The sequence below is a fragment of the Homo sapiens genome, chromosome 21, assembly GCF_000001405.40.
Source record: "Homo sapiens chromosome 21, GRCh38.p14 Primary Assembly".
Lineage (NCBI taxonomy): Eukaryota > Metazoa > Chordata > Mammalia > Primates > Hominidae > Homo > Homo sapiens.
Genome location: NC_000021.9, coordinates 29,347,623 through 29,363,861, shown reverse-complemented (window position 1 = coordinate 29,363,861; position 16,239 = coordinate 29,347,623). Strand labels below are relative to the sequence as shown.

The following is a 16,239-nucleotide window of genomic DNA, read 5'->3' as shown; positions in this document are numbered from 1 at the left end:
ACAGTGTGAGGGAAACAGCCAGCCTGATTCAATTATCTCCCACCGGCTCCCTCCCATGACACGTGGGGATTATGGGATTACAATTCAAGATGAGATTTGGGTGGGGACACAAAGCCAAACAATATCAAGATGATACCCCTTGGAATTATCTGATGCAGTGACCCTATTTGGGACCCACTTCTAGAGATGGGAGTGGGATCCATATCACCTTAACACGTGGTTTTTGAGTTAGGGAGGCCGTTCTGCGCTGGGTAGAGAGGATATAAAACATGCTTGGGAGGCAGCCCGTAGAAGCCCACTACTGACAGATGGCAAGAAAGTGGCAGGGCCTATGCCCTTTCACACATTCCCTACCATGAAGTAGGAACCCTAGATAATTACAGAGAGAAGAAACCAAAGTAACTTAGAAAACACTTCATTCCACCTTTGAGTCCTAACATGTGAAAGTAAAACACACAAAATACTCATTCTCATCCATGTCATTATTTATGGGTTTCAAAGCATTTTCTGAGTCGGCCCTTCACCTACACAACAGTAGCTCCAGGGGACAGCTGGCAGATAATATTATCCCCATTGGAGACGTGAAGCAAGTCAGGCATCTCCCTGCTCAGGTGGAACCCATCTCCCGCTTACTACAACAGAAACTCCCTGCTTACTTCTGTGCTATGAGAGGGAGATCCTATGGAAAACGATGAGAGAGGGCAGGAAAGTTGAGTGACAGAGAGGCCAGAAGAGAAAGCACAGAAGGAAGAGAAGAGGAGATTCAAGGCAAGGAGAGGAAAGCTTTGGAACAATGGCAGCCACCAACCAAAGGTTCTGTAGTGGTTGACTAGGGCTGCCATAACAATGCACCACAGGCCGTGTGCCTTAAACGACAGAAATGTATTCTCTCACAGTTCTGGAGGCTGGATGTCCAAAATCAAGACATCAGCAGGGTTGGTTCCTTCTGAGGCTGTGAGGGAGACTGTTCCATGGCTCCCTCCTAGCTTCTGGGGATGAAGGTGATCTTTGATGGTCCTTGGCTTGGAGATGCATCACCCAGTCTCTGCCTTCCTCTCCACATGGAGTTCTCCCTGTGTGTGAGCCTGTCTCCAGTCTCCGCATTTTAGAAGGACATCAGTCATACTGGATTAGGATCCACTCTAAAGGTCCACCCTAAAATGACCTCGTTTTTACTTGGTAACAACCCTATCTCCAAATAAGGTCACATTCTGAAGTAGTGGGGGTTAGGATTCTAACACATGAATTTGGGGGGCACACAATTCCCCTCATAACAGGCACTAAGTCTTTAGAGCCGAGCGGAACATGATGTGGCCAACTAGCCACATGTGGCTACTGAGCACTTAAAATCTGGCTAATCTAAATCGAAATGAGCTGTGAGTGTAAAATACACACCAGATTAAAAAAAATGAATGTGCAATATTGCAATAATTTTTATATAGATTACCTGATAAAAATAATATTTTGGATATATCTGGTTAAATAAAATATAGTACAGTATTCAAATTAATTTCACCTCTTTTTTTACTTTTTAACATGTGGTTTCTAGAAAATTTAAAACTTCACATGCAACTTGCATTTGGCTCATTTTATATTTCTACTGGATGACACTGATCTAGAAACAGAAATTCAGAGTCTTTGACACCTGGTCATTTTGTGAAAAGTTTCTGAAATTTCTACATTGTTCTCTGACAAGGATGGCAAAATTAAGCATTCAATTCACTGAATTGAAGTGACATGTAGCATATGGTAAATATCAAACTTTATACCTGTGTAACCAACTCTAAATTTTAAGTAAGTTCTCATAGAACCTAAGTGGCAGATATATTTGATCAATAAGGATCACACTTCATTTTTATTACTAAGAACTCAATTTGGAACAGGCCACCCAATATCATCTTATAAGAGTGGCTTTTGTTTAAAGCAATCACCTTTTCATTTACCTTGTGTAAGAAAAACAAGGCTGCTTATCAAGTGTGACTTTATTAATAATTACATCAGAATGGCATGGGTCCTTATTAAAGACGGTATACAAGTGAGATTTTGCATATGCTTTGTGCAGATAAATCATGAGCTCCATAGTAAAGTTATGTAAATGGAGATGCGTTTTTGCTTTTATGAAATACACTGGGTTATAAATACTCTGACCTTGTTTATGGAGGAAGCTGGTTTGTTCACTTAATGAAGACATTAATTTGCCATTCAGTTTGGACTGATTACTCATTAGCTGCCATCTCCTGACCAACAGCTCTGACTTACAAACCCAGGCTGGTGATCGGATCGTAGGTAGTGGTGTGCTGCCATCTATAGCTGGAACGAGAAAAAGATCAAAGTGCAGCAAGGTCTGCAAAGCCACAACTACTAAAAAGAGTTACAGTATCAAAACATTAACAATTTTTTTTAAAGCTAGACAAAAAAAAATACACTCCAAGGTCTACAACTACGGCTCTTTCCCCTTGTTAAAATCATTGTAAGTATTGATTGATTTGCAAGCAAAACAAAACCTAGATAAAGCAAGCTGTATAATATCCCAGCTGCAAGCCTTAACCCAATTATTGTTGGTGGAGCAGGTGCAAAAACATCTGCAATACTGATAACTCAAATGGCACAAAACCTACTGTAATCATTTTCCAAGTCAGCTACTGCTTGCCTTTGCCCAGAATTCATGTCAGGATTTCTTTTTCCACTCTTCAGTCTTTTTCCTACTCCAGGATGCCGCCATCAGCAACGTTCAACAAACATTTTTGGAGACCCTACTATGTTCCAGCCATTGTCCTGCTTGAGATGCAGCACAGACCAAACGCATCTCCTGGCCTTGCGATGATTACATTCTAGTGGAGTGAGACAGACATTAAACACTAGACTAAGTAAACAAGCTCATTCTATACTATGTTGGGAGGTGGCAGGCATTACAAAGAGAGAAAACAAGAGGGCAGGATATGGGGATGGGGATTGGAGGTAGAATGGTAGGAAGGAGGAAGCATGTGGGGTTTTTTTTTGTTTTTTTTTTTTTTTTGAGACAGGGTCTTGCTCTGTTGCCCCAGTCTGGAGTGCAGTGGTGCCATCTCAGCTCACTGCAACCTCCACCTCGTGGGTTCAAGCTATTCTCCTGTCTCAGCCTCCTGAGTAGCTGGGATTACAGGTGTGTGCCACCACACCTGGGTAATTTTTGTATTTTTAGTAGAGACAGGGTTTCGCCATGTTGGCCAGACTGGTCTTGAACTCCTGAGCTCAGGTGATCCACCCACCTCGGCCTCCCAAAGTGCTGGGATTACAGGCGTGAGCCACTGCGCCTGGCCAGATGCAGTCTTAATGAGGGCAGTCAGGGGAGCCTCACTGACAAGATGACAATGGGGCAAACATGACATTCCCAGGAGTTCCCAGGAGAGGACAGGGGCCTGGGAATGAGGCCAGAGGGTTGGGGAGGGAGTTCATTGTGGAAGGCCTCTGAGGCCGCCGACAAAATAGCAGCTTTTAGCTGAGTAAAATATCACTTCTTGCTTTTAGATATCTGCCTGATGGACAGCTACGTTTTGTGAGCCCAAAGTATTTGAGACAGGTCTCAATTAATTTAGAAAGTTTATCTGCCAAGGCTAAGGACGTGCCTATGACAGCGTCAGGAAGTCTTGGGTACATGATGACATGTACCCAAGTGGTCAGGGCACAGCTTGGTTTTATACATTTTAGCTTGATTTTATACATTGATGAGACCTCAATCAATATGCATAAGAGGTACATTGGTTTGGTCCAGAAAGGTGGAACAACTCGAAGTAAGGGATTCCAGGTCAGAGGTAGATAAGGGACAAAAGGTTTCATTCTTTGGGGTCTTCGATCAGCCTTTCACTGAATACATGTGAGGTGGAATGAATAGAGGAATAGTCACTGATGCCTTAGTCTGACTCAGTGAATCTGCATTTTTACATAAACAATAGGTCAGAGGAAGCAATGAGAAATGCATTTGTCACAGGTGAGCAGAGCAATGATCAAGAGTTCTGTCTGTCCTCTGTCCTGGGCCTGTGAAGATAAGGTATCAATTAATATGGCCAGGATGAAGTTCAACAGAACTGTTTTAGGGTAAAGATCTTTGAGGCTCACAAGGAATTTCCTTACGGGCAAATTGTGAGGGAGGTATGTAGCTTTTTTATTTTTATTGTTTTTCTTTGTAGTTATTTTATTTAGGAATAAAATGGGAGGCAGGTTTGTCTGATGCAGTTCCCAGCTTGACTTTTCCCTTTGGCTTAGTGATTCTGGAGTCTTGAGATTTATTTTCCTTTCACGGTTTTCCCCATTTCTTTCTTTGCTTAAAATCGTGTTTGATAGTTTTATAATCGTGGTGGTGGTTATTGTCTCAAGATTCATGAGTACTCGCAAAAGCAAATTTTAATAAATAACAACTGTTCACCCCAGATGGACTTCAATTTTTTTTATTCACAGAGAGATTTCGATATACCTGGTTATAATCATACTAGATACATAAATCACTTGCTTTCATGTTTAGCATCTGTCATGAGTATTTTTCATTTTATTCCATGTTTACCATAAACATTTTGTTAGCTAAAAACTCATAAAGAGACAATCATTGTGTCAAACATTTGATTTTACTGTGAGGATTAAGGGAAAAATTATAAAAAGAGCCGAGTACAGTGTCAAATCTTAGTTTGAGTAGAGATACAATATAGTGCTTTGCTTTTTTCCATTTCTAAAGGTCTATTCAAAATTATTTACTATGATAAATGCTATGATGGACATCTTGATATAAGAAGAAATTTTTATTATTATTATTATGGATTAATAATAGTCCTAAAATTTAAGATTATTGTTCTTCAGGATGGATTCCTTGGCATACAATTACTGTGTCTGATGTTATGGCTAGTTTAAAATGTTTTAAATAAAATATCAAACTGCTTCCCCAAAGCATAAAAGCTATTTTAAATACTACCCCCCTTGTGTTAGAATGCCAGTTTCACTCCCCCTCATTTTTTATTTTCTAATTTGATATATTTTTTACTTCTTTCTATTTAGCACTTTTTACATTTCTTTCTTTCTTCTTTCTTTCTTTCTTTCTTTCTTTCTTTCTTTCTTTCTTTCTTTTCTTTTCTTTTCTTTTCTTTTCTTTTTTTCTGAGACAGAGTCTCACTCTGTCACCCAGGCTGGAATGCAGTGGTGTGATCTCAGCTTACTGCAACCTCTGCCTCCTGAGGTCAAGCAATCCTCCTGCCTCAGCCTCCCCAGTAGCTGGGATTACAGGCGCCCTCCACCACACCCAACTAATTTTTGGATTTTTAGTAGAGATGGGGTTTCACCATGTTGGCCAGGCTGGTCTTGAACTCCTGATCTCGTGATCCACTTGCCTCGGCCTCCCAAAGTGCTGGGATTACAGGCGTGAGCCACGGCGCCCAGCCCACTTTTTATATTTCTAATGAGAAATAATGATAAAAATCTTCAAAAGCATGTTTAACCCACACAGGTTGCCTCCAAAGTCCCTGAGTTCCTGGTTATTGAGTGCTCCTGTTTTCTCTTTTGTCCTCTGCAGGCCCATGTCTGTTGCTCCTTTGTCTTGATGTAGTTTGGTGTTCTTTTTATTGGATATTGTCAAATGTGTAAAGATTAAAGATATTAGCCCTGTAACTGTTGTTTGGATGACTCTTAAATCTTGAGGCCAAATTAGTTTTCACTTTTACGCTGAATTGCTAACATCAAATGTGCCCTTCCTGCCCCACCCAAAAGGGCAGAGGAAGTGACAACCCCAGGGGCCCTCCTTCTCCCCTGTGTCCAGGGAAGAGCATCCCCACTTCCAGTCACTCCAGCAGGGAAGTATAAGGAAAGGGCAGAAGAAGTGAGGGGTGGACATCAGACCACAGGGACTAGCTCTCAGGGCGTGTGGGGACTAGGTGAGTGGGAGAAGCGGATCACGCTGACTCCACTAGATCCAGTAGGAGTAGCCAAAGCTGGAGTTATTATCTACATGAATATGGGGAACGAGTTACCCATTTGTTGTCCCCTACTTGAGGAGGGAATCAACCCTGAAGTCTGGGCATTGGAAGGAACAAACTCAAGCTCCAGCCTTAAGCCTTCCCACAGGATGAAACTTTTCTTTATGCATCACAGAGAGAGCAAGGATGGCTCTTGGAGTCCTTACTCAGACTCATGGGGCAACCCCACAACCAGTGGCATACCTAAGTAAGGAAATTGATGTAGTAGCGAAAGGCTGGCCTCACTCTTTAAGGGTAGTTGTGGCGGTGGCCATCTTAGTGTCAGAGGCTATCAAAATAATACAAGGAAAGGATCTCACTGTCTGGACTACTCATGATGTAAATGGCATACTAGGTGCCAAAGGAAGTTTATGGCTATCAGACAACCACCTACTCAGATACCAGGCGCTACTCATTGAGGGACTGGTGCTTCAAATATGTACATGCGTGGCCCTCAACCCTGCCACTTTTCTCCCAGAGGATGGGGAACCAATCGAGCGTGACTGCCAACAAATTGTAGTCCAGACTTAGGCCGCCTGACATGATCTCTTAGAAGTCCCCGTAGCTAATCCTCACCTTAACCTATATACCGACGGAAGTTCACTTGTGGAGAATGGGATACGAAGGGCAGGTTATGCCACAGTAACAGTACTTGAAAGTAAGCCTCTTCCCCCAGGGACCAGCGCCCCGTTAGCAGAACTAGTGGCACTGACCCGAGCCTTAGAACTGGGAAAGGGAAGAAGAATAAATGTGTATACAGATAGCAAGTATGCTTATCTAATCCTACATGCCCATGCTGCAATATGGAAAGAAAGGGAGTTACTAACCTCTGGGGGAACGCCCATTAAATATCACAAAGAAACCATGGAGTTATTGCATGCAGTGTAAAAACCCAAGGAGGTGGCAGTCTTACACTGCCAAAGCCATCAAAAGGGGAAGGAGAGGGGAAAACAGCAACATAAGCAGCTGGCAGAGGCAACAGAAAGGAAGAGAGAAAGAAAGAGACAAAGAAGAAGTCAAAGAGAGAGAAAGAGAGAGATAGAAGTAGTAAAGGAAAAACAGTGTACCCTATTCCATTAAAAGCCAGGGTAAATTTAAAACCTATAATTGATAATTGAAGGTCTTCTCTGTAACCCTGTAACACTCCAATATCACCTTGTTGTCAGTGTAAACAAGGGCGTAGCCCGAAAGCACTGAAGCCACTGACAACCCATAGCCTTCCTATCAAAAATCCTTAACCCAGCAGGTTTCCTAACAGGGGATCTAAATCTTAATTAATTACCATACAAAGGTCTGACCAGATCTAGGAGGAACTCCCTTCAGGACAGGATAATATACGGTTCCTCCTCAACTACTAAGGAAAAAAGACACAATGGGTATTCAGTAAGTGATAAGGAAACTCTTGTAGAAGCAGTTAAGAAAATTGCCTAATAATTGGTCTGTTCAAACATGCAGCTGTTTGCACTCAGCCAAACCTTAAAGTACTTACAGTATCAGGAAGGAGCCATCTATACCAATTCTAAGTTAATATGGACTGAATGAGGTTTTATTAATAGCAAAGAAAAATTAAAACCCCAAACTTACAAGGTTTTCAACAAAAGTTTGCTAAAAGTTAACAGTGTAACATGTATTGTACTAACTTCTAATTTTATGGAAATCAGACCCTATCTGTTCCCCTCAAAGCTCAAGTCCGTCAGTGCAGAGCCATACAACTAATACCCTACTTAATAGGGTTAGGAATGGCTACTGCTACAGGAACCGGAATAGCCAGTATATCCACTTCATTATCCTACTACCACACACTCTCACAGGATTTCTCAGATAGTTTGCAAGAAATAACGAAATCTATCCTTACTCTACAATCCCAAATAGACTCTTTGGCAGCAGTGACTCTCCAAAACTGCTGAGGCCTAGACCTCCTCACTGCTGAGAAAGGAGGACTCTGCATCTTCTTAGGGGAAGAGTGTTGTTTTTACACTAATCAGTCAGGGATAGTAAGAGATGCCACCTGGCGCTTACAGGAAAAGGCTTCTGAAATCAGACAACGCCTTTCAAAACTCTTATACCAACCTCTGGAGTTGGGCAACATGGCTTCTCCCCTTTCTAGGTCCTGTGGCAGCCATCTTGCTATTACTCGCCTTCGGACCCTTATTTTTAACCTCCTTGTCAAATCTGTTTCCTCTAGAATCGAGGCCATCAAGCTACAGATGGTCTTACGAATGGAACCCCAAATGAGCTAAACTAACAACTTCTACCGAGGACCCCTGGACCGACCCGCTGGCCCTTTCACTGGCCTAGAGAGTTCCCCTCTGGAAGACACTGCAACTGCAGGGACCCTTCTTTGCCTCTATCCAGCAGGAAGTAGCTAGAGCAGTCATCGCCCAATTCCCAGCAGCAGTTGGGGTGTCCTGTTTAGAGGGGGGATTGAGAGGTGAAGCCAGCTGGCCTTCTGGGTTAGGTGGGGACTTGGAGAACTTTTCTGTCTAGCTAAAGGATTGTAAACACACCAATCAGCACTCTGTGTCTAGCTAAAGGTTTGTAAACGCACCAATCAGCACTCTGTAAAAACGCACCAATCAGCGCTCTGTGTCTAGCTAAGGGTTTGTAAACGCACCAAACAGCCCTCTGTAAAAACGGACCAATCAGCACTCTGTGTCTAGCTAAAGGTTTGTAAACGCACCAATCAGCACTCTGTAAAAACAGACCAATCAGCACTCTGCAAAATGGACCAATCAGTGCTCTGTAAAATGGACCAATCAGCAGGATGTGGCAGAGCCAAATAAGGGAATAAAAGCTGGCCACCCCAGTCAGCAGGGGCAACCCGCTCCGGTCCCCTTCCATGCTGTGGAAGCTTTTTCTTTCACTCTTCACAATAAATCTTGCTGCTGCAAGATCTTGCTTGCTTCTGATCTTCCTTCTCCTCTAGTGTTCCTTATCTCCATTATGAGTTCTTCTTTCCCAGTCATCAGTATTCCTTTGGGGTCTGTCCTGGGCTATCTCCTCTGTTCACCACACACACACTTTTCAGGCAAGCTTTTCCTCTCACATAGCTTCAAAAGTGGACCATATGCCAAAGGCATAAATGTAAAGCTTTGGCCCAAATCTTCCTCCTGAGCAGAAGTCTTACATGTCAACAACCACATGGGCGCCACACAGCATGCCTTGCCTGCAGTACACTCATCACTGAATTTAACACCTGGTTCCACAAACCTGCTCTGACCTCGTGTTCACCATCGCATTGAACAGAAACATCTTCCACTCTGTTGTTCAAGAAAGGAACCTGGGGATCGTCTGTGGTTCTATCTTTTTTACCAGCTCTTCTTCTACCTCAGGACAGTCATCTCTGCCATGTTTCATGAATCTGGCCACTGTTCTGATTTCCCACGAACACATCCCTGGTCCAGTCCACCTAACTTCTTGTCTGACTACAGCCGTGGTTTCTTACTGGTATCTCCCATTCCACTCTTCCCACTCCACAATCCACTCTCCTCACTGCAGCCAAAACAAACTGTGAAACACAGGACTGATCATATCACACCTTTCAAAAGTTTCCCATTGTCCTTAAGATAAATGTCAAACTTTATCATATACCTGAGAAGGTCTGGACTCTTCTCACCCCTCTCCTGACTCACCACATGTCACTCCTCCAACCTGGAGCCCTCATTATCCCCGGCCACACATACATGGCATGCAACCACACCAAACATCTTTCAGCTCTACAAATAAACCATGAGAGGCCCTCTCTCATCCCTCAGCCTTTGCATATGCAATTGCCTTGGCTCAAAACATGCTTCCTCTTCACCCAGCTTCCCGCTCATCTTTTAGAGCTCCATTGGTTGACCATGAGCAATCCCTCAGCTTCTGTACCTGAGGGTAAATCTCAGATTTTCTCTTTCAAAGGCAACCTCCCTCCCTGGCAGAAGCCCTGTTGAATAGGATCCCCTTGGAAATGACCTCAGACGAACAGTCCTCATTTAGGTTCCACATCTGGTGGCTGAAGTCCTATAACTTTTACCCCCACCAGTGCCAATTCTTCTTCTTCCCAAATGCCACTCTATTCTGCTGCCACAGGAGTTTCATCCATCTACTCAAGCAATATTTTTTATGCATAAGGTGCCAGTCCTTTGTGTCTCCCAAACTCTAGGTGACTCATGTCAAGGCTTTTTTAGTGGGCATCTCATAGCCCCCCTCACTAAGATTAAGAAGGTTACAGTCCCAGCACTACCACATTTTCTAACAAAATTCTCTATCTTCTCCAAAAAACTCTTCTTAGTCTTTTCAACCACCTCTGTAGGCTGGAGGTGGGTGGTCAGCTAAGAATTCCAAAAACACTTCTTGGCCAGTTCCTTCTCAAATGCTGCAAAGGAGATGGAGGTGAATTTTGGCAAGTTGGAGGAACAGAGAGGGGACCTCTGACAAAAAGGTACTAAGAAAAGAAGGGGGTTGTGACACGTGGCATGTGGCTAGTGGGTACTGAATTGGATGGTACCATTCTATACAAGACGATGAAAGCTTATTGCGTGCTAGCTGTGTCATGGGGCCTTCTGGTAGACACTCTTCCATACATTGTTTCATTTGATTCTTACTACAACCATACAAGATTGGTTATTTCCTCTATTTTTTACTTACAACTTAGCCAAAAATAATTTGCAATGTGTAACCACTAAAACTCACTTCACCTCCTTCAGTTCTTACATCTTCTCAGTGAGGCCTTCCATTGCCATTTCTTAGAAAACTGTAACCGGCCAGGCACGGTGGCTCTTGCCTGTAATTCCAACACTTTGGGAGGCCAAGGCAGGCAGATCATGAGGTCAGGAGTTCAAGACCAGCCTGGCAAACATAGTGAAACCCCATCTCTACTAAAAATACAAAAATTAGGCTGGACACAGTGGCTCATGCCTGTAATCTCAGCACTTTGGGAGGCTGAGGTGGGTGGATCACCTGAGGTCAGGAGTTCAAGACTGGCCTGGCCAACACGGTGAAACCCCATCTCTACTAAAAAATACAAAAATTAGCCAGGTGTGGTGGCGAGCACCTGTAGTCCCAGCTACTTGGGAGGCTGAGACAGGAGAATTGCTTGAACCTGGAAGGTGGAGGTTGCAGTGAGCTGAGATCATGCCACTGCATTCTAGCCTGGGCAACAGAGCAAGACTCCATCTCAAAAAAAAAAAACAAAAACAACAACAACAACAAAAACAAATATTAGCCAAGTGTGGTGGCACGCACCTGTAGTCCCAGTTACTTGGGAAGCTGAGGCAGGAGAATCACTTGAACCTGGCAGGCAAAGGTTGCAATGAGCTGAGACTCCAGCCTGGGCAACAGAGCAAATTAAAGAAGGCATTCAATGCGGTGAATTGATTTGAATTTTCACGAGGTGTGAGTAGAAGTTTGAGTCAGTCTTACTTTGCTATCGAGGACCAGAAGTCCCAACATGAAAGACATACATATAAGGAAATTCTATCTGAGAGACATTAAGTAATTTTCCTTTGGCTATACTGTGGCTAAGCATCAAAACCAGGCTTCAAAACTAGGTCTAGGCCGGGAGCAGTGGCTCACGCCTGCAATCCCAGCACTTTGGGAGGCCGAGGCGGGCGGATCACTTGAGGTCAGGAGTTCAAGACCAGCCTGGCCAACACGTGAAACCCCGTCTCTACCAAAAATAGAAAAATTAGCCAGGTGTGGTGGTGCACACCTATAATCCTAGCTACTTGGGAGGCTGAGGCAGAAGAATGGCTTGAACCCAGGAGGCAGAGGTTGCTGTGAGCTCTGATCGCGCCACTGCACTCCAGCCTGGGCAAAAAAGTGAGACTCCATCTCAAAAAAAAAAAAAAAGAAAACTAGGTCTGTCTCACTGCAGGTTTATGTTCTTTCTATTCCTCCCCATAGTTCCTGTACTTTCTGAAGGGGCTTGGATTTGTAACTGAGTCATTGCTTAAATTTCTGCAATTCTTTTAGTCCTTAAGTGCATACTTCATACTCAACCTATTTTAAGTATGCTGGCAGCTGTCTGCTCTCCCAGGCCCTAGTAAACACAAGTTCAGGCCATTAAGTGCTTTTACTAGCCAAATTCTCCTACCTTATCTTAGCAGCTATGTGCTCTACTTCTCATTCCTGTGTTAAACTTCATCCTTGATTCCACATTAAGCTTCCCTCCCAGATGTTACTGTTTAGCTGAAACAGAGCTGTCTGAGCAGGTATCCAGAGTTCTCAGAATGGTATGGAACACTTCTTGGCACATCAGATTTTCCACAGAACCCTGAAACAGAACCCCTCAAATATCAGATGTTGAGCATAATAGATGAGGTCTTCTAAAGCCCAGAGTAAACGCTCAAATGAGATGAAAACACAGTGCTTAAAAAACGAGTTCCTTCTTCAGAAAATCTTATTCTTAAGGTTTTAATAGTAGTCCTGTGCCCAGCAGTTAAGGCTATCATTTAAATCAAAGCAAGGAAAACATAAGCATGCTTATTTCACAAAGGAAGATTCTCTGAAATTAATAGCTCAAAACAGAACTACTGTCAGTTTCTGAGGTGGACCAAATAGGTATTACTTTAGAAAGCTTAAGTTATAGTGGATATTTTCATATAGCGTGCTGGGTATTGTTAACAGGATCTCCTGCCAAGAGATTCACATCACATGGGAAACCTGCATATCAAGATGGTATCTGGAAAATTATTTAGGTCCGGTCTCCTGAAAGAAGGAAATTAACTGTTTAGAAAACAGCTGACTTTCGGGACAGTGATTAAGTATAAACTAAGAGTGCAGAATGAAAATGGTGTCTGTTTTAAAGGATGGCTGTTTTAAAATGAAAAGGTAATGTGCTCAATTTTTAAATATTTTCCATGATCTTTGCATTTATACTTTAAGAATAAGATGAGGAAGAGGAAAAAGAAGTGTTTGCAGTTAAACACAAGGTCAGGCTTGGCTTTTAAACCTGAACCTATGTTCCCGCTAGTAGTGGAGTGTGCAGATGAGAGGGCAAGTTCGTGGCTTTCATGGGAGTCTGCTCCTCTTCTGGGGTATCTTTCTCTTTCTCTTCTTGCAAGCTTCTCAAAGCCCCCAGACTCTGCCTCCACGTAATTCCTTTCCACATTCTTCCCTTCACCTTCTACACTCTGACCTTGGAACATGATCTTCCCTCAACCTCTTTGCTCCCCTCATCCCTGCAGAGATGGAGTGCGCTGGCTGATTGATAAATCTGAAAATAACTGGTTGTCCTCTGCCCTGCATGGCCATTCTTCCTCTTGGGATGTGCCCGTCTCCAAATAGCACCACTAGCACTCTACGCCTCCACACCACCATGCTGATTAGCGGAGTATAGGTGGTGCTATGCTGCCCAGAGGAAAATCTCCCTTCATGGAAACCAAGGGTGGAAAAGTTACTTCCCTCTAACAAGAAACAACCTGATAAGGTCAACTTGACTCATTCTGGAGTTTGCACTAGGCTCTCACGCTAAGCTACTCCATTATCAGCAACTGAGGTTTTGTTTTGGTTTCCCATCTACCATTCCTTTATTTTCTCTCTCAAATTCTTCATAGCTCAGGAAAGGAATATGCAATGTTCCTTTGGAAACCCAACATTTGGCAGGGCGGCATTGTATACAGACATTGAAAAATCAAAACCAGAAGAGCAGAGTTTGGGTAGTAAGAGACGCATGTGATTGGGAGTCTTGTGAACCACGGGGTGCAGTAGAGGCCGTGACATTTTACCTTCGATTGTATGTGGAGGTTTGTATTAGGCCAAGTGGGTTTTTACAGGAGTGACGTTGGTCTGGGTAAGAGGTTTTAAAGCAGGCTGTGAGCATATTGAATCTAGAGGATCGTTGTGGCTTGTGGTGTTTTTCCTCAGAGAATGACTTTCTGTGGAGCCCTAACTGGTCTCCTTAGGCCTTTGGAGAGGCTGGTGGGGAGGGGCATCTTAAGTGAAAGGCGCAAGGACTTCAGAAGAGATATGGAGCGCCTCTCATAGTGCAATTCCTTCAGGGACTCAGGAGTTTAACTGGCTCAATGCCAAGAGTCTAAGTGGCTCAGCATTAATGAGACACTCACAAGATTATCACAGCATTTGCACCACCTGTTTTGAAATCAAGCCAATCCCCAGCCAAGACAGCAGCTGTCCAAGAAAAATTATATTCTTAGAACACGGTACCTGGTGCACCCAAAGGCTGTGGAAGGTACTCAGTGGTAACTGAGGCAAGGAAAGTCAATGGGGAAAATCCTTACATTAGCTTCCCCCTGATGCCTGTCAGTCAACACCCACTTTCTGGAATGTACTACCCATGATCTTAAACCCAACTGGCAGAAATTCCCTCCACACCTCTCACGGACTGCAAGAGGCCCTAGAAAGTGGGTGCAACATGGAATAAATTAAATGTGGGCAGCAGCCGCCGGTGGGCCCCTCTCCATCAACAGCAACATAGCAGTTTCACAGGGAAAGGCCCAGCGCCCACAGGTGCTTGGCAGGGCAGGTGGCCTCAAGATGCCACTGCTGCAGTTTCCAGGGGAAAAGCAGACTTCACAGGCCTTTTAGGTGTAGCTGGGAAAAATAATAGGTACTGATTTTCACCGATTTTCAAGGCAGCTGGGTTCCAACGTACTACAGAGTGCTTGTAAGGTTCTAGCTTCTAACTGGTAGCGCCAGGCCACTGTGGCCCTTGCTGTATCAGCCACCCCAAATTCCATTCTGCATTCAGGCACAAGGAGGGAACCATGAAGGGACCTTGGATCCATGTGGTTCATCTGTAGTTGATTCTGGACTGCTTAAATCTATGTAAAGATAGATTTTTTTTTTTTTTTTGAGACGGAGTCTCACTCTGTCGCCCAGGCTGGATAGCAGTGGCGCTATCTCGGCTCACTGCAAGCTCCGCCTCCTGGGTTCACGCCATTCTCCTGCCTCAGTCTCCTGAGTAGCTGGGACTACAGGCACCTGCCACCACGCCCGGCTAATTTTTTGTATTTTTAGTAGAGATGGGGTTTCATCGTGTTAGCCAGGATGGTCTCAATCTCCTGACCTCGTGATCCGCCCACCTCAGCCTCCCAAAGTGCTGGGATTACAGGCGTGAGCCACCCTGCCGGGCCGTAAAGATAGATTTAAGACGCCTCCTCCATCCCTAGGAGGCAACTTTCTTAGGCCTAAACATGCATTCTGGCTCAGGCCTGAAAACGCCTGTATACAGGGATGTTGGCTCAGAGCCCCTAGAGGGAGCCCTCACTCAACAGTCCAGGTACCAGAAACAGCTTGTTGGAAGGGGAAATGTAAATTAAGGTGTCATGCAATGGTGGTCTTTCCCCCAGGAATGATCAGTGTATACGGCCAAAATTAAGCCCTTTTTGAGCGTCCTTCCAATAGAAATTAGGATCACGAGTTGTGAGTTACAGAACACTGGGGCATCTTTGGGGAACTGAAACCAAGATTTTTTTTTTTTCCAGATACTATTGAGGTTCTACTATGGTCTCTGGCAGCACTAGGTACTGAGCTGTGGGAGCAGTGTTGTATGGGATGACTGCTTTAGTACCTGGGAATTAGCTTGTTTCGAAACAAGGGTGGTTGTGGGGCCAAGGCTATGATAATTTTGTGGTTAACTCTTCTGACTCTAAAGTGAGCACATCAGAGACTCAGCCTCAAACCTAGTTCCTTCTGGAGCACGGTAGGAACAACCACTCTCTTAAAGACAACTCCAGCTACAGCCTCTTGAAAGAATCTCAACTGGACCTAGGCATCAAAAACTCCTCTGGCCAAGGCTGATCTGAATGAGAAATCTGGCAGGATAGTCTTGGGATTTATTTTTCTTAAAGTTTTGTACTTCGAACTCAGGTGGACAAAATAATTTGATTTGCTTTAGTTCCTTTAGACTTTAATGCCTTTAGATTTTTTTTAATCCAAAGGGACTTAATCTTTGAATTTTTTTCTCTAAAAGTTGAATAATAAAAGTTAAACTTCCATTCAAATTTGGATATCATTATGTTGCTAGCATTTTATTCCTGGACTTTCATGCATTTTCTTATGGGAATGTTATGTTGGGATCTAATCTCAATGCAGAACATCTGATATGCTACATGCTACACGGGACGATGAGGTAGGAGAGAATTAGGGATGAGAAAAATGTTCAGTCTTTGGTACAGAGTAGCCTTTGAATTCATTTACTTACTAGTACACTGCTGGATCCAGAGCCTTCTGAGACCAAATGTTCACTGACAGCCCAAGCCAGTCACACCTGCAAAGGCTGGTGTTGGGAAGTGGCCTCAAAGGTGAGAGGAGGTCTGCCCTC

At 43.8% G+C, this 16,239-nt stretch overlaps 1 protein-coding gene across 1 annotated transcript in view; it reads right to left on the bottom strand.

The window, feature by feature from the left end:
- Positions 1,968 to 16,239, bottom strand: part of BACH1 (BTB domain and CNC homolog 1) — a 62,973-nt gene continuing 48,701 nt past the window's right edge. The window contains exons 5-8 of the transcript NR_027655.3: positions 12,049 to 12,228; positions 11,199 to 11,283; positions 2,619 to 2,831; positions 1,968 to 2,310 (exon numbers count right to left, since the gene is read on the bottom strand). The gene's annotated coding sequence lies outside the window, so the exon portion shown is untranslated. The remainder of the gene's footprint in view (positions 2,311 to 2,618; positions 2,832 to 11,198; positions 11,284 to 12,048; positions 12,229 to 16,239) is intronic.